At 39.6% G+C, this 26,080-nt stretch overlaps 1 protein-coding gene across 7 annotated transcripts in view; it reads right to left on the bottom strand.

The window, feature by feature from the left end:
- Positions 1-26,080, bottom strand: part of PCNX2 (pecanex 2) — a 343,895-nt gene that overhangs the window by 197,676 nt on the left and 120,139 nt on the right. For all 7 annotated transcript variants that reach the window (XR_001737430.2, XM_047430870.1, NM_014801.4 and 4 more), the window contains 2 exons: positions 19,044-19,154; positions 17,829-17,920 (listed from right to left, as the gene is read on the bottom strand). Coding sequence is in view for 6 of the 7 variants with exons in the window: in XM_047430870.1 (XP_047286826.1) it covers positions 17,829-17,920; positions 19,044-19,154 (203 nt within the window). In the remaining variant the exon portion in view is untranslated. The remainder of the gene's footprint in view (positions 1-17,828; positions 17,921-19,043; positions 19,155-26,080) is intronic.

A 26,080-nucleotide genomic window follows, 5' to 3' on the forward strand; every position in this document is an offset into this window, starting at 1 on the left:
GAGCCCAACTCTCCCCTCACACTAGGATGTCCTACTTTCTTTTCATTGGTCCCCTCTGCCCCGCCTATAAAAATGCTCAAGTTGCTGACTTTTTTTTTTTTTTTTTTGAGCTGGAGTCACTCTCTATCACCCAGGCTAGAGTGCAGTCATACAATCTCAGCTCACTGCAAACTCCACCTCCCGGGTTCAAGCAATTCTCATACCTCAGCTTCCCAAGTAGCTGGGATTACAGGCACACACCACCACACCCAGCTAATTTTTTATTATAGTAGAGACGGGGTTTCACCATGTTGGTCAGACTGGTTTCGAACTCCTGACCTCAGGTGATCTGCCTGCCTCGGCCTCGCAAAGTGCTGGGATTAAAGGGTGAGCCACCATACCCGGCCAGTTGCTGACATCTTTAACAAATAAAAAAAGTTCTCCTTCCCCTTGATCCAGTTGCCCTTGAAAGCTACTGTACTCTTAGTCTGTTCGGGCTGATATAAGAAAATATCATAGACTGGGTGGCTTATAAACCACAGAAATTTATTTCTCACAGTTCTGGGCACTGAAAGCCCAAGGTCAAGGTGCAGGAAGGAGAAGGTTTGTTGTCTGGGGAGGCCCTGCTTCCTGACTCCTAGATGATGCCTTTTTGTTGTGTTCTCACATGGTAGAAGATGCAAGAGAGCATTCTAGGGCCTCTTTTACAAGGACACTGATCTGATTCATGAGGACTCCTCCCTCAATATCTGTAATCACCTCACAAAGCCCTCGCCTCCAATACCATTACATTGGGGATTAGGTTTCAACATGAATTTTGAGGGACACATTCAGTCTATAGCATACACTATCCCTCTTTTTTATTTCAGTGCCATCTCAGCCTTTCGAAGGTCTGAGCTCCACATTTCACTCCTGGTCATCAGTGAATGACTCAGTAGTCTCTGTCAAGCCGGGTAACTCCCATGAGTGGAGGTCCTACCATGAGCTGTGTGACACTGGCTAAGTTACTAGACATCTCTGACCATTGGGTTCCTCTTCTTTAACAAGGGAAAACAATACCTACTCAATGGTTGTTGTGAGGGTGCTTTTCTGTAACCCAGGTGATTTAAGTTTTTGACATGGGAGGGGTCAATGCAGCCCCCACTTGATGACGGACACCTGAGAGCTGTTTCTTTCCCACCGTCTCAACAGTCTCCTGATCCTTGTGTGCCATCAATACACATTTTCAATGCTGCTCCAATTTGCTTCTTCTTTCCATTGCATCCTGTCTGGTTAAGGCTTCCACTGTCTTGTCCCAGGACTACTGTTAATGCTTCCTAATGGGGACTCACCCTTCAGTATCCACACCCTACCCCACCCCACAGATCCCACACTCTGTCCTTTGTATAGTGACAGAGTGGTTCTCCTCTCCAAAAGGCTAATCGGATCATGTCTGTGCCCTTCACTCAGTATCTTTCAATGATTCCTCATTACCAACCAAATGAAATCTACTCCACAGGCGATGCATAAGCCCACCTTTTCAGCATCCTTCCTCACATTTAGGATATACACAGCAGCAAAACCCGAAAGAGGAATTGCTCCCTGCCCTCCTGCCTTTGCCTACATGGTTCCATCTGCACAGAGGGCTCTTCTGTCCTGACTCCATTCCATTCCATTCCATTCCCCTCTACCTGGTGAACTCCTACCCATGCTTCAGTGCCCAGTATAAGTTCCACCTGCTCAGTGCTGCCTCCTCTGACTTCCCAGGCAGAACAGAATCCTCCTCCTTTGTGCATCAAAATCACCTTTAAACATCTCTAGGGTAGCATTTAAAGTGTCTCTTTTTTTTTCAGGGGCATAGCTGGGCTCTGCCCCTCAGCAGAGAGCACCTGCCCACAGGAGTTGTGCATACACATCTGCTAAGTCACAAGGACAGAGTAGCTCTTCAGCATGTTTCACTGAATTAATGGTGGAAACACTTTCACTATGTTCTTTTATTATGTTTGGTATGAAAACGACCTGCAATAAGACTTGTTAGCTCGAACTCAAAGGCAGCTGGCAACTTTATCCATGTTAGAAAAGACATTCTGGGGCAACCTGATGGCACAATCCCCTTCAAGATGCTACCGGCATCACCATCCCTGAAGCAGCATCTCCTATGTGTGCCCATCCCCCATGACACCTTAGGCACCTCTCACTGAGTCCCACCATTTACTTGTCTGCCTTCACATTAGACACCGGACTCCCCAACAAGGGGCAACCTTACATGTTTCTTTCCCCGGTACCTGGCACAAATGTTAGCACCCTGACATATCCTTGCGAGAATGACTACAAGGTTTGGGCTTTCATAATGACTCATGTGGACAAGAATTTTCAGCAAGAAAAGAAGATGAAGGAATTGAGTAGCTTACATCAAATGTGGATCAGGCAGTGAAATGCTGCGGAAGTGATGAGATTATCAGAGAAAAGGCAATCTCCTGACTATGTGCTTCTCATTATTCCTTCAAACAGTACCCCCAGCAACAGGAAAGTTATTCTGAAACTTGAGTTTTATGCTTTCCTAAGAGTCCACGCATCAAACATTCATTCATTCCTACAATGTGCTGGGTACCCAGAAGCATAACCATGAACAGGACAGAGAGAGTCTTGGAAAGGAAAGACACATGGATAACTGCAGTCAAGTATGACAGATGAGGGGACAATGAGCTGCTCACAGAGCACACGAGGGGCTACACAGCAGGAAGCAGAAGCTCACATGAGTCAAAGGAATGGCATTTAAGTGGATCCCTGCACACAAATGCAGAACGTGGTCCTTCCGCTGCAGGGGCTTCTGGAAGAGCCAAGCAGGGCAGATAGGGCTGGCTCTTCCATCCTTACATTGACTTCACCCTGCTCTGTCCATCCACCTAGGGCTTCTCTTATTTCATTTCATACTTGACCATTACACAATAAACACAAAACGTTTTCCAAAGAAGAAGAACCTGCTAACTTCTATTTCTTGTCATTGATTCATCTGCACTAACCAGTGCTGTGTATTTAATTCATGATTTTGTGAAGGTGGAACCTTTTCTCTCACATGTAGCCCATACATAGGAAGACCCTGGAAGAAATTCCTATGAGAAATGAGTAACTAAGACCCTAGAAATAATTCTCATGACATGGATCAGAGAAAAGGTCAAGGGAACAAGTGTTGGCAGAAGTTGGTTCCAGGCTCACTCATCGTTGAAATGAATTGTTCTGTGGAAGGCACTTAATTTCTCGGTGGTTCAGCTTCCTATTCTGTAAAAAGGGGATGACGACACCTTTCTTAATGAGATTTAAAACAGCCTTGTCCCCAGCAAAGTTGAATGTCAGTGTTAGTTTTTCATTAATTGGAAAAGAAGGGGTACCCATGATGGATGGTCTTTGCTGACAATAAATTAAGTCCAGGCTCCAAATATATTTTGATAATTGAGTTTACCTACTTTTATTCCCTCAATACTCCTTGCCTAAATCTCCTCTCATTTTCTCTCTACTTCGATATTTAATCAAACATTTCCAACAAAAACACCAAGGACAGCTGTTACACTCCTGGTTTCTGTCCTATATTAGTAGAAGTCTGTATTCATTCTTCCATTACATATGATTTCTTTTAAGGATAACTAATAGCTTTGGGGTAAATTGTTGAACAGGAGTAAATGGCAATGTGGCCACAGGGGCAGGAAGAAGGATGTTTATGTCCTTCAACAAGAAAAAGCAAAGTTATGCCAGCGGGGCACACTTATTCTTCCAAGAAAAGGGTGGGATACAAGGTGTTAAGGAGTCCATATTCCAGGTGCTAATTTTCATGTTTACTTGCCCAACCTCACACTTCCACACAACTCTTTCTCAGAAAAAAAAAACTGACCTTCCCTGAGTTTTGACACATGGTAACAAAGCAAACCACCTGGATCTTCTGAGGCTCTCTCCTGGAAACACCCTCATTCTCCAGGTTACCTGTTCACTTTTTCAACTAATGCAGATGTATACATACATAAACACACACACACACACACACACACACACACACACACACACACACACATCCCTCAGATTGGAGGTTGATTTCTCAAGGAAACAAGGACAAGAGAGATTACTTGATTATCAACATCATGGGTTATCCCTTCATATGCAGACTGCCATTTTCCAAAACCCACTATCTTCAAGAAAGATTACCTTTAGAGTTGGAAGGAACTTCATAACTGAGATGGTCTCATCTCAAGTTATTGATCAAGCAAGGAGACAGGAAGAAAGAGACTTGCCCAAGGTGGTAAGACCAGTACCAGCCTCCACAGCCCTGAATTCAGTGCTCCATGTACCCCACCACCTTAAACGTGTATATAGCTAACTGTGAAAAATATGTAGACATCTCACCACTTTTCATTTAAAAAAAAAGGTTAGGATGTTTTAATAATCACTGTAACTTACAAGTTCCCAGCATTACAGGCTGTTTCATCTATTTATGCATCCATCCACACAACAGTGTTTGGAAACCTATTGAGCTACCTGCCTATTTCAGTGCTTGTTGCCTATTTCAGGGCTTGTTGAAACACATGTAGAGCAACGGCTCAGAGGAAGAAGGGATCAATTTTATAAAGATTTAAAATTTACAAATGTATATCTAAAGATATAAAGATTTTGGAAAGAGATAAAGTTTTAAATGGTCTGTTGCCCACAGATAATGAAGCATTTATCATGTGACAGTTTGCTTCAAAATTAACATCTCTAATTGCTCTGAGACACATCTCATGGGCCTCAAAATTGGGAATGATAAGGATTGATGAGTGCTGGTTTCATAAAACTCCCACAGGTTTTGAAATATTTTTATGAGGTAGTAATAAAACTGTCTAATAGTCCTACAATTCTGTGGTAGATTTCACATGCATTTGGGAATTATCTGACGAGAATGCATAGGGCAGTCCGGCTTTGTACAAAAAAGCACACTCTGAACACAGTCTGAATTCCAGCATTTTTCTCCTTAGAAGTTTTAGACACCTCTTATGTTGGAATTTATGGGACAGACTAACTGAGTGTTTGATTATAAAGTGAATATCAACAGGCCGAATTCTTGCTTTGCTATGCCTTTCATATCAGGTTTAAATACTTTCTTTTTAAAGAAACTGATTTTTTTATCGCATTAAACATAGGGACATTTTTGAGATTGAGGTTTTATACATCCTAAAATAAGAACGAGATTGTACCATTTTGACTCTGTATAAGTCCTATTTCTAGGTCTATTTTTGACATGAATCCCATCTTTAAGTAAAAGGAGCGCTGGGCCCATAAAGTTCCCGAAATTTAGTAGGGAAAGATGTGTCACCCAGTCCCTGAACTGTGCTCTCTCTTCTTACTTCACACACGGCCTGCGGAGTGTCATGTGGCCGGCACGTGTGGGTGTGCAATGGATACCTTCTAGGCTCTGGCATCCCCGAACCCCTAGAGTGCACCCCTGTAGCAGCTCTTGTCCATATTCCTCATGGACCTTGAACACCCCAGAAGGGGCTCCCCCAGTGCCTCACACTGACCCTAAATTATAGGTCAATATGTGTCCCGCAAATAAATGAACAATTATGTGAACACATATGGCAAGTCAGACTTCACTATCTGCTAAGAGTAGATTCTTCTTATTTCATACTGTTTTCTTCATTTTGGTGAAAAACATGATATGTTTATGAATCAAGACAGTATTTCACTTTTAGAGATAGGTACTGAAGAAAAATGAGATAGTTAGCTGGCAAGACAGAATAACGGGTCCCACGTATCCAAGTCTATCTATAGCTACATGGATAAATACATAGAAATGCACACACACACACACACACAAATACGTGTACTTCAGGGAAAACATTAACATTTACTTTCCTTCTCATTGCCCTTTTGCAAGTTATCTGTAATTATTCAATCCAAGATTTTTGTAGCACACCTTTTATGTGACACACTAATAGGACATAAAAAGCAGCATATATAAACCACAGTCTGTGACTTCAAGGAGCAATGAAAAGTGTGCACAAGCAAGAAGAAACACAGCAACAGCTCCCATGCATTCGGCAGCGACTACCTGACTTGCTGCTTAACATTCACGACCACACGTAGTTTTTAAAACACATCGAAGGTAAAAGTATTGCCCATTTTACAATGAGGAAACAGGCTTTTACTAGTTATTGTGGTAAGTATCTATATTTTTCACATAGAATTGATTACATACAGAAAAAAACAAGGATTGAATGAACATCAGTAGGACAATGTTGTCCTCAGGATTCTGGAAGAGAGAAGATAAACTTTGGCTGGTGTCACTGAAACAAGTTTTGTCTTCCATCACTACTAGGGTCACAACAGCTCAAATTCTGGGCCTAGAATGCTGTTTTCCACCTACCCTCTCCTCTCTGTATCCCTCACTCCCCATCAGTCACTACATTTCTGGATTTGATCCCAGCATGCTCTCGGGGCTTACTACCAAAACCCCCAAGTCCAAATCTTACTTCACTCAACAATTGCAATTCCATTTTGAACAACTTCTGAGCTATCAATCAATATTCTTCCTGTTTTTTCCCCAAATCAGTGTCAGCTGACACCATCAAGCTTGAGGGTCATAATAATCCAGCAGTAACTAGGTTTGAGGGTCAATTCTACTTTTTTGCTGACCAGGAAGGGAAGCATGGCAGAAAGCACGAGCTGGCTGGCTGAGATCGGTTTCCCCTTCATCCTCAGCAGCAGATACTTCCTTGCAATTTGTTCAGACAGCCAAAAGACTTATTATTCCTGGTCTCTTGCAGCTAGAAATGATACAATTCTAGCCATAAAATATAATGTGAAGTCTGATATAAGTAAAAGTGAGTTAAAACTTAGGTTTTACTTTCAAATTTATTACTATTAGCATTATTAACATTGTGGTTACAGTCATCATAACCACCAACTATTTATGCTAAGAATAGTTATCGTTGGTATTAGCTTTCTATTGCCGTGTAACAAATTACCACAAACTTAGCAGTTTAAAATAACACAAATGTATGATCTCACAGTTTCCTAGGTCAGGTGCTTGAGCAGAGTGTGGCTGCGTCCTCTGCCCAGGGTCTCCTAGACTGAAATGTCAGTGTTGGCTGGACCTCTGATCTTATCTCACACTCGGGGTCCTCTTCCATGCTCACTGGTGGTAGGCAGAGCTCAGCTCCCCCTGGCTGTCGGATTGCAGTCCCCATTTCCTGGATGGCTGTCCACTGGGACCTGTTCTAGCTCCTAGAGGCCTTTGCTCTGGGTCTTTGCCATGTTGCTACCTCCATCAGCAGTTAATAACCTGGCCGTTTACTTCTTCTAGGCCAGTAAGGGAGGGTCTCTACTGCTTTTTCTGTCCCTGCCCTCTGGACCCCCTTTTAAAGGGCTCTTCTGATTAGGTCAGACCCATTCAGAATAATCTCCCTTTTTAGGTCAGACCCACTCAGAGTAATCTCCATTTTTTTGAGACGGAGTCTTGCTCTGTCACCCAGGCTGGAGTGCAGTGGTGTGATCTCGGCTCACTGCAACCTCTGCCTCCTGGGTTCAAGTGATTCTCCTGCCTCAACCTCCCAAGTAGCTGGGATTACAGGTGCACGCCACCATGCCCAACTAATTTTTGTATTTTTAGTAGAGATGGGGTTTCACCATGTTGGTCAGGCTGGTCTCAAACTCCTGACCTCATGATCCACCCTCCTCAGCCTCCCAAAGTGGTGGGATTACAGGCATGAGCCACCGCACCGGGCAATCTCCCTTTTAAGTTAAATTTTAATTTAAGTTAAAGTTACCTGATTAGGGACCATAACTACATCTGCGAAATCCCTTCAAGTTTGCCAGATAATGTAACTTCATCACAGGAGTGACATCCCATCCCCTTCACAGGTCCTGCCCACATTCAAGGGGAGGAAATTGTACAAGGCATGTATGCCAGGGGATAGGAGTCTCAGGCCATCTTAGAATTCAGCCTCCCACACCACTTAACAGGAACTTTTAGCCAGGCACTTTATAGACATTATTGATTTGATTCTATTTGCTTCTTAAAACATCCACATGCGGTAGGTACTACTAATCCATTTTACAATGGAAAAAACAATGTGAATTAGTCATGCACCCTTAGGCAAGTAAGCATTCTGTGTTTCAGGTTCACCACTGGAAAACAGGAATGTTGATATCTTCCTTATCGATTACATGGAGATATAGTAAGGGGCAAATGAGAAGACACTTCAGAAATTATTTTGTAGGTTAAAGAACCATTGATCTGCAACTGTCTTATATGCTGTGAACTGTTCTTTCAACAAGACAAATATATTTATACTTCAAGTGTGGTAGTGAGGATGGCACAAAAGGAAGACTGAAAAGACACAGATCTGGGACGTGGGGTGTGTGATGCGGAGTAAATTACTTAATCTCTCTTTGGATGTTCACTTCCTCATTTTAAATAATAAAATGAAGGAATTGCACTAGGAGGCATCTCAGGTCCACTTCAGCATTAAATAATATCTAGAACTATGAGTTTGTTTTACATTTACAATTAGATTTTAAACCCTGAGTGCCTGTAAAGTAGCATGATGTTAGGCTGCAATCCTGTGGGACCCAGAAGAAATACAGGAAAAGCTCCCCCGCAAGCAGTTGTTAAGGATACGTGGGAAACATTAAATTATAATAATGTGCTTCAACCTCTGGATCCCCTTGCCATTAATAAAAAAGAAATCTCTTTGTAAAGGATAATAAAAAATAGAAATCATAGTTTATCCAGACACAGAAAGCCCAGTTAATTAACTACTGAGCTATTTCTCCGAGGAGCAAATATTCTGGTTGTTTCTGTAGATCACTGTCAAATACTATTTAAGTCAATGAGGGAGTCCATTTATATGTTACTTGGTACCATCTTGGACGAGTCAAAGAGAATATGAAATTAAAAGAGGAATCAAATTTTCTTTCCCTAATTAATATTCCAGAGGACAAAATTAACTCATGGTCTCTGAATCTGCTTCTACCAAGTGATAATAATAAAAATTAAGGAAATAAACACATATATCATGACCCATATGGAAAACTGTATTGCTAGCAAGGCAGCTGACATGCTGAAACGGTTCACAAGGATCCATCAATCCATCATGATGCACTAGAGATGAAAGGAAAAAAAAATCAATTCCAGCAATGCAAAGAGTAAGCATAAAAGGCATAAACAAAAGCATCGTTAAACAAGAAGTAGAATCACGGCTCTGGGTAAGTGGGAGTTTGATTGAAGATGGGTGAGCTTTTCTTGTTTCCTAAGGACCCTCTTGACAATTTGCTAACCACATTCATTCAATTCACAGCATTTAATAGGTGCTGCATCTTCAAGTGGAGAGTCAGTCTGAGACTATTAGAAAACTCAGGACGTACAAAGGAGAAGGAAGAAATTCAAATTGCTCTATTTTTAACAAAAGGTGCTTCAAAATACGGTTAGAACATTAAGGTTTGTTTGTTTGTTTTTGGTTTTTTTACTACAGACTATAGTATTTATTGCAAATGATCGTTGTTCTATGCTGAGAAAGGGAAGTCAATACCTCCCTGAGATGAAATAAACCTTCCCAAAGCACCCCAGTTTCAACTGGTCAAAGCCTGTTTCAACACCTAAGTAAACCCCAGAGTTCTTGAAGTGTTTCTTTCCATCACAGAGTTAACGGCGTGCTTTCAAAATGGAATCTATTTACTCTGATCCAACAATGATTTACACCTATAACAAGCCATAAACTGAATAGAAAACAGAAATAAAAGTCTCAGCCCAGGATAGAGAATAGAGTTTATCTCTTGGGCTGGCTCTGATCAGTTGGCACTGGCTGACTGTAATATCTCCTGGGCAGCCCGAGGTACTACTGACCTCAGTTAGAAAAAAATGCTGTGATCAATTAGCAATGTCTGACATGAAAATGGAGCCACATTTGGGGAGGTGAGGGAATAACAGTATCTGTCCAGCAACTAGGTAAAAACCCAAGATACTCTATTTTTTGAATACCAGATTCTTCAGTAGTTTCTAAAACCCTTTAAGAATTTTGCAAGAAAAAGTTGTGTAACAATCCATGAATGCACATTACTTTTGAGAGTATCTGAACTGATAATTATGGGCGTTCAGCATTTGTCAAATGCATGTTGAGTTCCTGAGGAGAAAGGAATGTCTTTTCCTCCTCCCATATCTTTACAGTACCCAGCAGAGCTATTGCTGAACAAATAAATATGTGTCGACTATCACAGAATACGAACGTTTCAACTTCTGCATCAGTTACAGAGAGCATGCATGTTTCCGTTTCCATTAATCAAGTACAATGATATTTACATCAGATGCTGTTTGCTATTCAGGGTTGCCACAAAGGGTAAAGTGTGGGGTCCCAGTCCAAATGGCATCAAGAACATCAAGAACAAGATCTCCCTCTCCCTAGAGCTCATTAAGTGTCCAATAAAATATTCAAAAAGAGAAAAGCCTGAAACCACACTGGGAACCAGAGCAAGTTACTCGTGCACAAGTCATAGACCCTGAGGAATTTATGCCAGACCTTATATTATAGATGGGTCTAGACTGAAAGAAGATTGTAAGGCTGACTCCAACTCCTCTCTCCATTTGAAAGACAGTAGTGCACTGAGGAAGTAAACAGGAAAAGACCTCTGCTAACATCACCTAAATGAGAGGCAGAAGGGCTGGAAGTGAGTATAGACCAAGGGGTTAGCAGACATTTTACCACTTGGCCTTGCACGTCTGTGGATGGGCAGTCTGCAGCAACTCCTGCTGTCGTAGAGGCGGCAGCATTTATTCATTCAGGTCATGGATGTAGAAGTTAGAGCCAAGAGGGTAAAACAGAGATAACCACTGTCCCAGGCATTTCTTCATATCTACTGCCTGTGATGAGCTTCCTGATATAACTACCCCAAACTCCATCAATAAGACATTTTCCCTGGGAAAAATCATCTCTGAACTAGTAGTGTATTACTGAAACATGTTTTGTTTCATTTTCCTCTCTTCCTGTGTTTCAGACATGAGGTACCTCTGAAAAGATCTGACCAAGGAGTCTTACAATTCCCTAACAGAAACCAGTTCAATTCTTTCTTGACTATAAGACAAAAGTCATAAAATCTAACATCAATGTGGGCAGCCAAGTGACATATATACATTATGTGGCTCAGGCATAAAAAATGATAGGACATGATGAGACCTGTGAGTTTGCGGTAGCTGTGAGTTACTATTCAGTGTCAGCAGGTTGTTACCAAATGGGAAGGTCAGCCCAGTGTTGCCGGATCTTCACATTGTTTAAGAGAAGTAGGAGAATCATATTTTTACACTGACTGTCCTAATATTAAATCTTGGCTCGAAAAAAATTTTAAACATTCTACAGGCCAAACACAAAACAGGTCTATGAACTGAACAGAGACGATGCTAGGTTATCAAAGACATATTCTCACTGCGAAATGAGGAAAAACAGCACATGACAAACAAAAAGCATTCTTAAAATGAGATATTTCTCTAAAGGGACCACTTACAGAAGCTTTCTAAAGCACATTTACATCAAAAAAAAAGAAATTTTTAGAAAATATCTGATTTAAAGTCTCAACTTTAAAGCTAAGCAAGCAATTATGAAGGTCGAATAATATGAATGCCAAATTTCAAACTGCAATTTATCAGTAGACCAAACAGCAAACAATGCAGAAAATAAAATTTATAACTGTAAAATTAGGATAATAGTACTTGTCTCAGTTATGCTATGTGAAGTAAATTATATAAAATATATATAATAGTGCAAAAGAATTCTAGAGATCTGCTGTATAACATTATGCCTGCAGATAACAATACTGAATTGCACACAAAAAGTTAAAAGGATAGATTTCATGTTAAGAGTTCTTACTGTAACAATAAATACATTTTAATTTGCATTTATTATTTAGACTTATATATTATATATAATTATATATTATTTTAATATATTTCAATAATATATAAAATTTATATATTATTATAATTTATCAAATTATTTTACATAATTTATATTTTATAAATTATATTTTATAACTAGTATATATATAAACTAGTATAATTCCTAGTACACAATAACTTCTCAATAAATATTTGTTGATTTCTTCATTCTTGAAATGAGAAACTCTAGAACTGTACCAGAACTCAAAGGAAAACTATAAGGAGAGGAAAATGATGAAAAAGAAATGAGAGACATGAAAGACAGCCAAAAGTTAAAGTCTGTGAAAAATTAAATCATATTATGTGAACAGAATCAACAATGTCATTAATCAAAACATAACAGGGAAACTTTTCCTCTAGATAAAGTTTTCAATATGAAAAGTGAAAATGGGCATGGTGCTCCAGAAAACTTAAGAGAACCACGCCTAATCATAGTCCACTAACTTCTTTTAAACTTCAGACTGTAGGAAAGAATTCTACAAAAATTCAACAAAGAAATTTTAGCCCTATTGTTTTTATCTTCAAAACTAAACACTGACAAGTGATGCCAATTCAGATGTAGAAATCCACAAGTGTCCTGCTCACAGCCTGACAACAAGAAAAAGCCAGATAATTTACAAAAATCTCAACTTTAAAATGACTATGATTAATATGTTGAAGAATCTAGTGACAGAAATGGACATCATTCATGTGCAGATGGGTAATTTCGAAAGAAAAATGAAAACTATCTACAGACATCAAATAGAAATGTTGGTTCTTTCGTGAGTTTATCATCGGACTAGACACAGCAGGAGAAAGAACTGGTGAACTTCAAGATAGGTCAGTAAAATTATTAAAACTAAAACCCAAAGAAGGAAAAAAGAGTGGAAAAAAAGACTATAGCATACAAATGATGTGGGGCAATATTAAATGATCTAACATGTATATAATTGGAGGCCCAAGAAGAAAAGAAAAACAGAACAAGGCAGAAGACATATTTGAAATGAGAATGGCTAAAGATTTTCCAAAACAACTCACAAATCAAACAGTTCAGAGAATCCTAAGTAAAATAAAAAAAAAAAACGCCATACACTTAGTCACAGCATTGTCAAATGGCTGAAAACAAAGACAGAGAAAATCTTAAAGGCAGTCAGAGAAAAAAGAAACGTTACTAACAGAGAAACAAATATTGGAATAACGGCAGATTTTTTTATCAGAAATTATACAAGACAAAAGAAAACAGAACATGTTGAAAGTACCAGGGGAAAAAAGCTTTTAAGCAGAATTCTGTACCAGTGAAGATATCCTTCAAAAGTGAAGGCAAAATGAGATGTGTTTCAGACAAAGGCTGAAAGTTTATGACTAGCAGACCTGCACCATGAGATTTCCTAAAGAAAGTTCTTCAGACAGGAGAAATATGATGGCAAGCAGAAAGATGAATCTACACAAAGAAATGTACATTGCAGAAATTATTTTTTAAAATAACGTAAAGGAAATATAATTTTAAAGATTTTTAAATATCTTTATGAGATAATTGACCACTTAGAGTATAAAAGAATACATCTCATCTAAGAGATCAATAAAACCAAATATTACTATATAAAAAAGTTCAGTAAGAACATAAGCTATTTTATGTGAGCTCTTTTATAATATAAAAGGAAACACTTTCCAACTCATTTTATCAAGCCATTACATAATGTCAAAACAAGACAAAGCATTACAAGAAAAGAAAAGTTAGGCTGGGGGCGGTGGCTCACACCTGCAATCCCAGCACTTTGGGAGGCCGAGGCAGGCGGATCACGAGGTCAGGAGATTGAGATCATCCTAGCTAACATGGTGAAACCCCATCTCTACTAAAAAATACAAAAAATTAACTGGGCGTGGTGGTGGGCTCCTGTAGTCCCAGCTACTGGGGAGGCTGAGGCAGGAGAATGGCGTGAACCCAGGAGGTGGAGCTTGCAGTGAGCCAAGATCACGCTGCCGCACTCCAGCCTGGGTAACAGAGTGAGATTCCATCTCAAAAAAAAAAAAAAAAAAATTAGAGAACTAGAAACTTCATAGACATCAAATTTCTCAACAAAATATTGGTAAATAATATTGAGCAATATATTTAAAAAGGCAATATGGCATGACCAAATGGGGCCCATCCTTTAAATGGAATGTTGGTTCTACACTGAACAATTTATGTAATTCTTCCTAACAATTGCTTTAAAAAAAATCAATATGGTCTTCTCAATAGATGCAGAAAAAAAGTGACAAAATTTAACATCATTTATGATGATAACTCTCAGCAAATTAGAAATCTAAGGGAAATGACTCAGCCCAATAAAGGGCATCTGGAAAATTTCCATAGCTAACTTCATACTTAATGGTGAAAGACTTTTCCCCTAAACTTGGGAGCAAGGCAAAGATGTCTGATTTCAGCACTTTGTCAACATTGCTCTGGAGGTCCTAGCCACTGCAATAAAGCAAGAAAAAGAAATCAAAGGCATACAGGCTGGAAAGGAAAATAAAATTGTGTTTATTGATAGACATGACAATCTATGGTAGACAATCTTAAAGAAATTACTAAAATACTACCAGAACTAATACATTTGTTTAGCAAGCTTGCAAGATAAAGGCTGAAATATTACAAAATAAATTGTATTTAGTATTACTTAACAATTGAAAATTTAAATTATAAAACACAATGCCATTTAAAATAACATATAATGCACAAAAAGGTGCAATAGTTTCAGGTTGAAAGATACAAAATACTCCTGACCTGAGAACGAAGTAACAAAGACTGTGGTATATGGAACAATATACCATGTTCATGGATCAAAAAGTTACAGTTAAGATGTCAGTTCTCCCCAAATTGATCTACAAATTCATCATAATCCCAACGAAAATTTTTGCAAATTTTGGTAGGAATTGTCAAACACAGTGTAAAACTTACTTTTGAAGAAATATGACCTTTAATAGCAAAAACAATTTTGAAAAAGAAGAATAAAATTGGGAGACACACTATCTGATTTCAAAGCATATTATATAGCTGCAGTAATAAAAACAATGTAATACTAACATAAAGAAAGGCATGCAGAACAATGAAATGATTAATTTTTGGTTCTAAACGTTCCATGATAATTCAACGGAGAAAGGTTAGTGTTTTCAACAAATGGTACTAGTAAATCTCAACCTTCACCTCATGTCATACACAAAAATCATCTCAAAAGAGATTTCAAATCTAAATATAAGTATATTCAAATCAAATCTAAATATAATACAACTATAAAACTTGTAGTACAAAAATATTTGTGACTTAGGGTTAAGTAAATGTTTTCTAGGTAAGACATAAAAAAAACCCATAAAATAAATATTAGATAAATTGGACTTCATTGTAACTAAAAACTTCTGCTTTTCAAAATATACTGTTAAAAAAATGAGAAGACAAGCCACAGCCTGAAAAAAAAAATGTGTGTAGCATATATCTGTTAAAGGACTTGTATCTAGATTATGTAAAGAACTCTTATGTCTCAATAATATGGCATACATATAATTTTTAAATGGACAAAAGACAAGCAAATTTTTCATCAATGAAGTTATACAAATGTGAAACATACAGAAAGATGTTCAACACTATTCATTATTGGAGAAATGCAAATTAAAACCACAATCAGATACTGGTTCACACGAGAATGGATTTAAGAAAAACCTGACAGTACTAACTGTCAGCAAGAACCTAGAACACTTGGAAATCAAAGATTATGTGAGGGTAGGGAAAAGAAAAATGGTATAGAAACTGGACAACAGTTTGGCAATTTCTTATAAAGTTAAATAAAAACTTACCATGTGATCTAGCAATCTCACTCAGGTATTCACTTAGGATAAATAAAAACATTGTGTGGAGAGGGGACTGACTGCAAGTGAACATGAAAACATACTTCTGGATGGGGGAACAGTTTGTGTCATGATTGTGATGGTGGTAACTTGTCTACACACAGTTGTCAAAATACATCTAACTGTACACTTGAAATTAGTGGATTTTATTGTATATACATCATGCCCTGACAGATTTGATTCCAAAGAAGCTTCAAAGACAGAAATCTGATGAATGGTGGCCAGAGGCTGGAGATAGGGGAAGAGACTGACTACAAGGAATTCAAGAACATTTTTTGAGTTGGTGAAAATGCTCTCATAACTTGATTGTAGGATTATTTATTTATTTATTAAAACTAACCAAACTGGACATTTTCAAAAGCTGAACTTTAAACCTGACTTTTAAAAATTAATGAACAAGCAAACAAATAATTCCAGAACACAACAGAGCAATATACTAAGGTGCCTGCAGAAAAACACCTGTGACCCCAGAGTTGTATAGGCAGCCATTTTACCAAAAGACAGTGGAAAGATGTTCTCAGAAGTACAAGGACTCAGAAAATACTCATCCAAGTACTTTTCCTAAATGAAGTATACCTGGGATCCTATGATTAAATAAAGGAACATAAGTCAAAAGAAAGAACACCGGAAACACTGTTTAGATAATTGTTGGTCTACATGACAGGATAAATGTGGTAACAAACGGGCCACTACAAGCACATAAATTACCTTTGTATATTAGATACAGAAACCTTCCTCCCAGGCCCCTCCCCTTTTTTTCTGAAAGAAAATATCTATATGATAGGAATAGAAGTAATGGAGTAATCAATAATTACTCCATGGATTACTGTGAAATATTGAGAGAGAAAAATGTTGAATTCATTCTCTTTCACAAAGGGAAATAAACAATTATCTTTCTGCCACTGACATTGATCAGTTTAATATGATTTAAGTTAATCTTTTTAAAAAGTGAGTTAAGAAATGTTACGTGATTTATATTAAAAACACTTTGGAACATATATTATTTTTATTTACTCTTTTACATTTAATTTTTGTTTTATCAAAGGAGTACCTGTGGTTTAAACTGTTAAACCGTAAGTCCAGAAATATGTATAATATTAATTTATTTGTTACTGACTGAAGATGCCCCTGAGGACATTATGTATACTGTTATATTTAGACTTAATGGCCACTCTACAGCTCTACAACACTGAAAACAAACAGTAGTGGTCTCCCCACCTACACAAACCCCTGCCCTAATTCCTGCTTCCTGAAGGCAATGACTCAGCTATTTCTTCTCCATATTTACTTCCATATTTTCAAATAAAATACTTGCTGTGCTATTTCTTGATTTTTATTTTCAATTTTAGATGTTATTTGCTGATTTTCTAATATGGAAGACAGGATTTGGAACTCCTCCATCACACTTCACCTCCCCCATTCTTCTATTAGCGATATAACATGATGATTACTCAGATTACTATATAAATATGGTTCACAGCTGAGCCAGGTACCTACAATAGATACGTTTCTTGCCTGACACAACTTTGTGTTTTCTGAAGTTCGTGTTTATCTTGTTTTCTCATCATCTTAGGCTTCCCTTGCTGCCAGGTTAGGTTTGCATTTTCCCCTTCTGGGTAAGTCTATAGTCCCTCTGTTTTCTAGATTCTAACATTTTGTGGCTGTCATATCCTCTTCTGTCCTCTTGTCTATCTAGCTTTAAGCAATTGTATTCCTTTATTGTCTTTTGAGTGGTATTTCAGGAAGTGAAGGCAGACACATGGGTTCCATTGACCAACATGTTAAGCAGCAGCCCCTCCCACTGTCACTAACCGATCTTAGCAGAGAGACATCTGCAGAGGGGAGGCCAGGCCAGGAGGTGGGGGGCCTTTCACATTAGGGCCAACCAGGCATCCTGACCTGTCTTCTAACACTACTGAGGCCTCACTCAGCCACACAGTCACTCCCTGATTTGCACAGATCCGATTTCTCTTGTAATTTTGGAAAAAACATTCATTTGTTTAAAAAAATAAGTTAATTTAATGAATCGAGAAGGATGAGGGCCCATGGTCCTCACACCTACCTTCACTGCACTGAAGCAGACTGCGTGGAGCAGGGCGGCAGCCAAGACGCTCCGGGCCACACTGTAAACAGCCGAGGTTATCCCAGACACAGCTGGAACACAAACATCAACAGTTCTTTTCTAGACCCGCCATTCTTAAAATCAACAAATGTAAAACAGTGAAGAGATGGTTGCACATTCGCATACAAGATGCCTGCTGAAGGGGTAAATAATACATCTATGGGATCCATCAAAAGGCACTGGGTGACTCACAGGTGCAAGAAAGAGACTACCATTAACTAAAAATTCAAGAGGAAAGTACTCAGAAAGAATGCTTTACAATGTTCTTAAAAGACCATGTGAATGTGTCAGAATGAAGGTAGGGAGACCTCATGGCTTACAGTTGAAAGCTGGTGGTCAAGGAAAAGGTCCTAGATAGCAATTCAATAGAATAAATGGGAAGGAGAAGGAGGGAGAAGGCAGGAGGAGAGAGGAGACGGGAAAGGGAATAAGCAAGTGTCCCTATGTAGTGTATGTGTGTGTGTGTGTGTACGTGTATGTGTTATGGGGGTGGTAACAGTGATTGCATTATGCACATGATTTCATTTACTCTTTATAGCAACCCTATGAGGTTATGATGTTTATTTCCATTTAGAGAAGAGAAGAGTAGGCTGAAAAGTTAAGCAATTTATGTCACGTCGTGAGATTATATCCACCTTGGTCTGAATCTAAAGTATGACATTAAAAGGGTCACAGTGATGGTTTAGGGACACAGATCACCTGTCTCTATAGGTACACACACAATACACAGCACAGTGTCAACCCACAGGCTCACCACATTGATGCACTCCCAGACTTGAGCATGTGTGTGCTCAAATACACACACACACACACACACACACACTTATATCCACTCACACATGCTCACACACATTCACACACGGAGTGTTTTTTTAGGGAATAGTTTGAAGGGCCTCAAACCTATTCCAAATCACAGAGAATTCTACCCTTCCTTGTCTCTGTGCTTACGCTCAACCAAGCTAAGTGGACCTCTTCCAATTTGGCTACAGGAAATCTGGACAGGCCCATCATCACCCAGACTGATCCAAACTGAAGTCATTTAAATGCTCAGGACAAAGAAAACCTAACTAGCCTCTCATCTCCTGCCTAAGGCTATTTAGTCCTTATCTGAACTCTGAATTCCTTTACAGGAAGAATAGAATGTAAACGACTTACCAGAACCACCAAAAAACAGCATGTCAATTTGCTCCAAAAGATAAGTGCAGAAAGTGTTGATTTGCGGGAAGAGCCCAAGGAGGGAAATAGCAGGGAAGCAATATAAAAATACTGAAAATGAACAAACAAAATTGACGATAAGCATGGGGAACTGTGTTGCCAAGGCTCCTGCTGCAGTGCTGTCTCTCTCCCCTTCCAAACCACCCCACCCAGGAATACTGGAGGCAATCTTTTTTTTTTTTTTTTTTTTTTTTGAGATGGAGTCTCGCTCTGTCGCCCAGGCTGGAGTGCAGTGGCGCGATCTCGGCTCACTGCAACCTCCATGGAAGCAATCTTAGACTCCTCTCACCCGGAGGAAACTGGAGGCTGAGACGGAAATGTGTCTGTGGATACAAGGAGCTGATCCTGAGAAAGAAGTACTGATGAAAGGAACGCACACAAGGCCAGGACTGAGCAAAGACTTCAGGGGTGGTGAGTCAGAGTAGAATCATCTTCAGTTTGAAAGAGTAGACTTGGACATGGGGGAGATGAGGGCAAGAGAAAGGAAACTGGGAAAACTACAGGAACATAAAAAAAACACAGGACAGGACAGGCACGGTGGCTCACACCTGTAATTCCAGCACTTTGGGAGGCCGAGGTGGGCGGATCACCTGAGGTCAGGAGTTTGAGACCAGCCTGGCCAACATGGCGAAACCCCACCTTTACTAAAAAAAAATACAAAAATTAGCTGGGCGTGGTGGCGGGCGCCTGTAGTCCCAGCTACTCGGGAGGCTGAGGCAGGAGAATGGCGTGAACCCGGGAGGCGGAGCTTGCAGTGAGCCGAGATTGCACCACTGCACTCCAGCCTGGGCGACAGAGCAAGACTCCGTCTCAAAAAAAAAAAAAAAAAAAAAAAGTTGGTATACCTATGTAATGAACCTGCATGTTCTGCACATGGATCCCAGAACTTAAAGTATTAAAAAAAAAAAAAAAAAAAAGTTGGTTAAAATTCACTATGGAACAAAGTACTGAGGAACTGTTCCAAGTCTTTGTGAAAGTAAAATTTTATGTCATGAACATGGCTATCTATAATAATAGGGGCTGTGGTTGGTGTTGGAGCCATGTTTTGATACAGGTGGTGATTTTGTTGTGATAATTTTTGTGCCAAGATTTCAACTATATTGTAAAAAAGTAGAGCATCTGAAAGCAGTTTATTTCTCAACCAAAGCAGACAAAAAGGCACAAATACTGATATGCTATACGTAACTATATAAGACATCATTTCTTTTTCAGTTTCTATCAATAGAAAGGAGAGATACAAGAAATAAATAGAAATTTAATTACAGAACATATAGTCATGAGCATAGAAATTTTAATCCACAAAATTCCATAAAATTTCAAACAAACTGAGAAGAGCTTCTCTTTACTTTGGGGTCAAAACCCAGCAATAACAATTTTGTGCTATGCTATATCTGCCAATTCCGGATCAGGGCAGAGGGAAGGTCCAATGAGATTTATTAATTGCCTTTCCAAATGCTGTATGTGTATGTGACAAAAACTACTCTGAGAATGAAGAACCACAGGGAAAAGTCTAGGTATGGAATGATATGAAAGGCAAAGCCAGATATTGGGAGCTATTTGGTAAATCAAGGATAAAGAGATATTCTGTATAAGAAATACATTAGCCAGTGCAACAAAACCCAAAGAAATGGAAAGAATTGGAACACAATGAAAAATGGCATGAGGAAGATAAAATGGTAAGAAATACCAGAAAGTCATCCCTGGAGATGCTCTGGCTGTGGGTGTAGAATTGGAACTTAATGAAACAATACAGGAAGAACAGCAGTCAACAAGGAGGTCCATGCACTAGATCCTCTCCAAAACATCCTGGAGGAGGAAAGCTCTAGTCTTTAAAATAAATGTCGTGGAGGTGGAATGGGAGGAAGAGGGAGTCCATGTGTCTCATCTGTCAGGTTGCAGTGAACGTGAAGGAAAAAGCAGCCAAATGCTTGTTATGTTACCAGGACTTCAGGAAAATGACACTTGAAATTGCTGAAATTATTTTGTCCTTTTTTTTTTCAGAAGTAAAAAAGTCTTTGTGGCTGTTCATAATTTTCCCTGTGAACAAACATTTTCTGTTAGCATACCACTGAGTGGGCCTATAATTTCCTCTCACTTCTTCCTAACTTCTTATTTTCCTTAATAATTATAGTCAATGCAGAAACTTCTGGCACAGTTCCATTTCTTTTTAAGCAAAATTCATAAATAAAAATATAGTAGCTTAAGCTTATTTCTTTTATCAAATGTGAGTGATATAAATTACCATATTTGCAGGTTTGAGGGGCAAGCAGTCAGAATTAAAATGGCACAGAAATAAAACTAAAGCCTATGAAGTCAATGTGAATGTATATATTGTGTGTCTTCAATGTGCCCTATCTGTGTATTAACTAAATGTCCTCATATGGACTGAGGCCAAGAAATGAGCCTTTAAACAAGACATAGGAATGGGACGTCTGGGTGTTTAGGGAAAGGTGAGTACAATCCAGTGATTTGTTCTAAAACCTCCACTTATCTCCAAAGTTACAGTCTCCGTTATTGAAGATGCATTATTTTTGGCAGGGATTTATAAACCTAAGGACCAAAAATAAAACATAAAACTCCCAGGTCTGAAAAAAGCAAAAACAAAAAAACACAGAGCAGAGGCCATTTGATAAACAACCCATCCAGTGCTTGGACCCGGCTACAGCTGATGGACATTTCATCGTGCCTGAAGTTTTTCCATGCCAGAGAACTCATTTCACTAAGCAACCTATTCTACGGTAGGGCAGCTCTAACCCAAACCGTTTTACTGGCTTCTTTGTACTGAGCTGTAACCCATCTTCTATCTGCTGGAACTAGTTATTATGGCTACAAAAGAGAATAAAATCCCTCCCCTTCAACCTGGCAGCATTTTAAGGATCTGAAGCTATTGTGTGTACTAGCACTCAAGTGTTTCTTCCCTGGGTTGGACATTCCCAGTTCCATTACCCAGTTTCCAGACCCCATACAGGCCATGTGGCTACACACTCCTCTGGGCATGCTCTAGTTTTGTTACTGCTCCTTTTGAAATATGGTACTAAGAATCAGACACCTTTTGGCTTTCTCACCCACAGGATAATTTCAAAGCCAGTCTCACTCAGAGGTTTTTGCTCAAGGAAAGTAATGTAAATTCCAGCCAGAGGTCACCAGTCTCAGACTGAGCACAGGAAATGAGTGCGGACTAATAACTTTCACCTTATTCCTGGGGATAAAAATAAAGAATATTTTTTCTTATAATGAAAGGAAAAGTGCACCGAGTAATATTCTGAACATATATGAGGGATCATAAAAGAAAAAGAAATTACATAGGAATATTATTCTGTGCTTCTACCTCCTTATTCATCTGAATTTCTCCTCCTTCAATCATCTGATGTTTCCTTCTTCCTTTGAGATGTTTCTCTCCTTGCATTATACATGACAAGGAGTTTCTCCATCCTTCCCACCTGCGCCATGTCCACCTGACTTATCTCATACCACTGGCTCAGGCATTTGATCTCTTCTGCACAAGGAGGCAGAAGGAGATGCTGATACTGGACTGGCCTCGCTCCTTGACTGTCCCTCTCCTCTGCCACCTCCTCCTGCTCTGACAGGGTGATGGTTTAATTGCAGGAACCAGGAGTGGCAGTGGGTAACCCATACATCACCAACAAGACACTGCTCTAGGAAATACTCCATGCTCCCTAGCACCTGCCAGAGGAGGACCACTTGTACCCAACACAGCATGAGAAGCACAATAAATCGACGGGAAAAAATGTCACATGGACCTAATTCTTCTCCCTTGTCCTTTTTCTTAAACGCTCCTCGTTATAGGTTGAATTATGTTCCCACAAAAGATGTTGAAGTTCTAACTCCCAGTAACTCTAAATGTGACCTTGTTTGGAAATAGGGTCTTTGCAGATTATTGAGTTAAGCTGAGGCCCTTAGGGTCCATCTGGACCCTAATTCAATATGACTGGTGTCCTTATGAAAAGGAGAAATTTGGACACAGAGGCACACATGCACAGAGGGGACACCATGTAAATATACAGGAGAAGAATGCCGCCTACAAGCCAAGGAGAACGGCCTGGAACAGGTCCTTCTTTAATGCTTTCAGAGGACAACACCTTGAGTCTGGACTTCTGGCCTCCAGAACTGCAAGACAATAATCTTCTGTTGTTCTAAGCCACCCAGTGGGGAGTACTTTGTTACAGCGGCTCTAGGAAGTATTACGCTTCCTAGAGCTGTACACTTCTTTTTCCTCCTAATAACCTTTTGTTTTCTCCCAATGTTTTTCTTCTCTCCTTGCTAGTTCCTCCATATAGCAATGGCAGCAGCTTTAGACTACTTACATCCCTTGCTAGTTGAGGGAATAGACAGTGAATAAGTTCCACAAGGAAGAAATGACTTTAAGTAGCCCTTGTGTTCCCACGTAAAGTCAGAAAAGTAGTGTAAGCCACTATCTCTTTCCTTTCTCTCCCATTTGTTCTAAATTTGTTTCACAACCTTTTCCTGCTCAGTGCAAATTAGTATGTTTAACACATTCATTCCATAGGGATTGCTATTGTTCTATTTTTCTATTTATCTTTACCCCAGAAGTTATTTAATCGGCTTGCTGGATTATTTATCGCCATTTTTACTTGTCACTGTTGATAAGCAAACAAAAATATGTATTAGGCAGAAGCTTTAATGAGAGAAAGGGAATTCCAGTGGAAAAGAATGTTCCCTCTCCAATCCCTAATGAAATTGATTTAAAAATAAAATAAAATAAGAATATGCATAGCTAGTAGGATATTCTAGAACAAGGGTTACTGCTAAAAGTAAAATCTTAGGCTTTTAACAATTATTTAAGACATTAAGGTCTTATTTTTTGAGCTTTAATAACACCTCACATCCCAATGCCATTGTAAGTTTGCCACACCAAGACAACTACACTTATTCCAAAGTTGACTTTTTTACAGTAGCAAATAAAAATTTTAAAAACCAGGAATGAGGGAGATACCCATGTACAGAAAAGCAATTTGTAAATGGAAGACACATCATGCTCTTCATGCCCCAAACCTCTTTCTACAGATTATTGGCAAAAGGCACTTTTTAAGTCCCTACTTATTCTAAGGGCTGAGTTAAACGGTCCAAATGGACTATAGCCTTATCTGACTTATGAATGGGAAGTATTCCAAAAGTTATTTGTACATAAATATCTTTAGTACTTAAAGCAGACTTTTGGCCGGGCATGGTGGCTCATGCCTATAATCCCAGCACTTTGAGAGGCCAAGGCGGGTGGATCACCTGAGGTCAGGAGTTCGAAACTAGCCTGGCCAACATGGTGAAACCCCGTATCTACTAAAAAATACAAAAATTAGCTAGGTATGATGGCACGCACCTATAATCCCAGCTACTTGGGAGGCTGAGGCAGGAAGAATCGCTTGAACCCAGGAGGCAGAGGTTGCAGTGAACCTAGATCGTGCCTCTGCACTCTACTGAGCAACAGAGATAGATCCCATCTCAAAAAAAAAAAAAAACAAAACAAAACAAAAAACACGGACTTTAATGTTCATTGGTTCATCCTTTCAACAAATGTTTATTTAGTGCCTCTAAATGCCAGACACTGCTAAGGATTGAGTGGTAAGAAAGCATGCAGGGTCTCTGCTTTGCCTTTTCTGAGCGAATAAGCTAGTGAGAGGGACAGGCATTATTTTGATATTACAAGTGTGAGCAGATTGCTACAAAATGGGCTAAGGACTATGAAAGTGTGGGTAGTGAGAGGATAGACAATGGGGCCAAACTTAGGGAAATGAGGTGTTATGAGCCAGCATAATGAAGGACGGGGGAGGCCGCAGAACAGCTTCCAAGTGGAAGGAACACAATGTGTGAGAAGGGGATGAGAAAGGGATGAGAAGGGGCCACAGTAATTACGGCTCCAGCTCAAGCCACAGATCCCTGGGACCTGTAAGAGGTGGCACTCTATCAACACTAACCCACATTCAAGATCCCAGGAAAAGATGGCTGGGGGTACCCAAGAGGGAGTGTGGAGTGCAGAGAGAGAAAAGGCAGCATTTTGACATAGACAATCGTTTCTTGGACATCTTCCAAAATTATTTTATGCTTTCTCCTTCTCTAATCTCCAGGTCCTCATGTGCCCTTGAGCTGTGGACTCCAACACTGCTGTTTGCAAAAAGAAGATGGCAGGAAAGGATGGCCCTGCAAAGTGTGCCATCATGAGTGAGCATCTCTGTCTACTCAAACTCTGATTTTTTCACTGCAGCCGACTTAGTGAGGAATATGGGCGCACTAAGTTATAAAATATAAGAATGACAGAAGGCCTTTCTTGTTGTGTATGTGTTTGTTCCAACTGATAGGACTGAAAAAAAAGTAAAGTAAAAAATATCAGGAAGGATAGAAGCAAATATTCTTGGGCAGGAGGGCACTGACTGGGAGATCAAATTATGGATCTGTTCTTATTTTTTTTCCAACATGTTTCTGTTTCCTAATTGAGCTCAGAGGTTCTCTGAAGCATGGTGCGTAATCCTTTGGCATTAAGAAGCTATTCTGGCCAGGCACGGTGGCTCACGCCTGTAATCCCAGCACTTTGGGAGGCTGAGGTGGGCGGATCACTTGAGGTCAGACCAGCCTGGCCAATATGGTGAAACCCCGTCTCTACTAAAAATACAAAAATTAGCCGGGCATGGTGGCACATGCCTGTAATCCCAGCTACTTGGGAGGCTGAGGCTGGAGAATCGCTTGAATCCAGGAGGTGGAGGTTGCTGTGAGCCAAGATTGAATCACTGTACTCCAGCTTGGGAGACAGAGCGAGACTCCAACAAAAAAAAAAAAGAAGAAGAAGAAGAAGAAGAAGAAGTTACTCTGCTTCTCAAATGATGTAACAGGAAAAGATGTGTTGAGGATGCATAGAAAGGTGGGCTTGTGGTGGGTTGGGCACTGGGGGAGTAAGAATGAAGAGTTCACTATCAAAGCAGCAGGAAGAGGAACGGGAAGCCAGAGGG

The sequence above is a fragment of the Homo sapiens genome, chromosome 1, assembly GCF_000001405.40.
Source record: "Homo sapiens chromosome 1, GRCh38.p14 Primary Assembly".
Taxonomy (NCBI): Eukaryota; Metazoa; Chordata; class Mammalia; order Primates; family Hominidae; genus Homo; species Homo sapiens.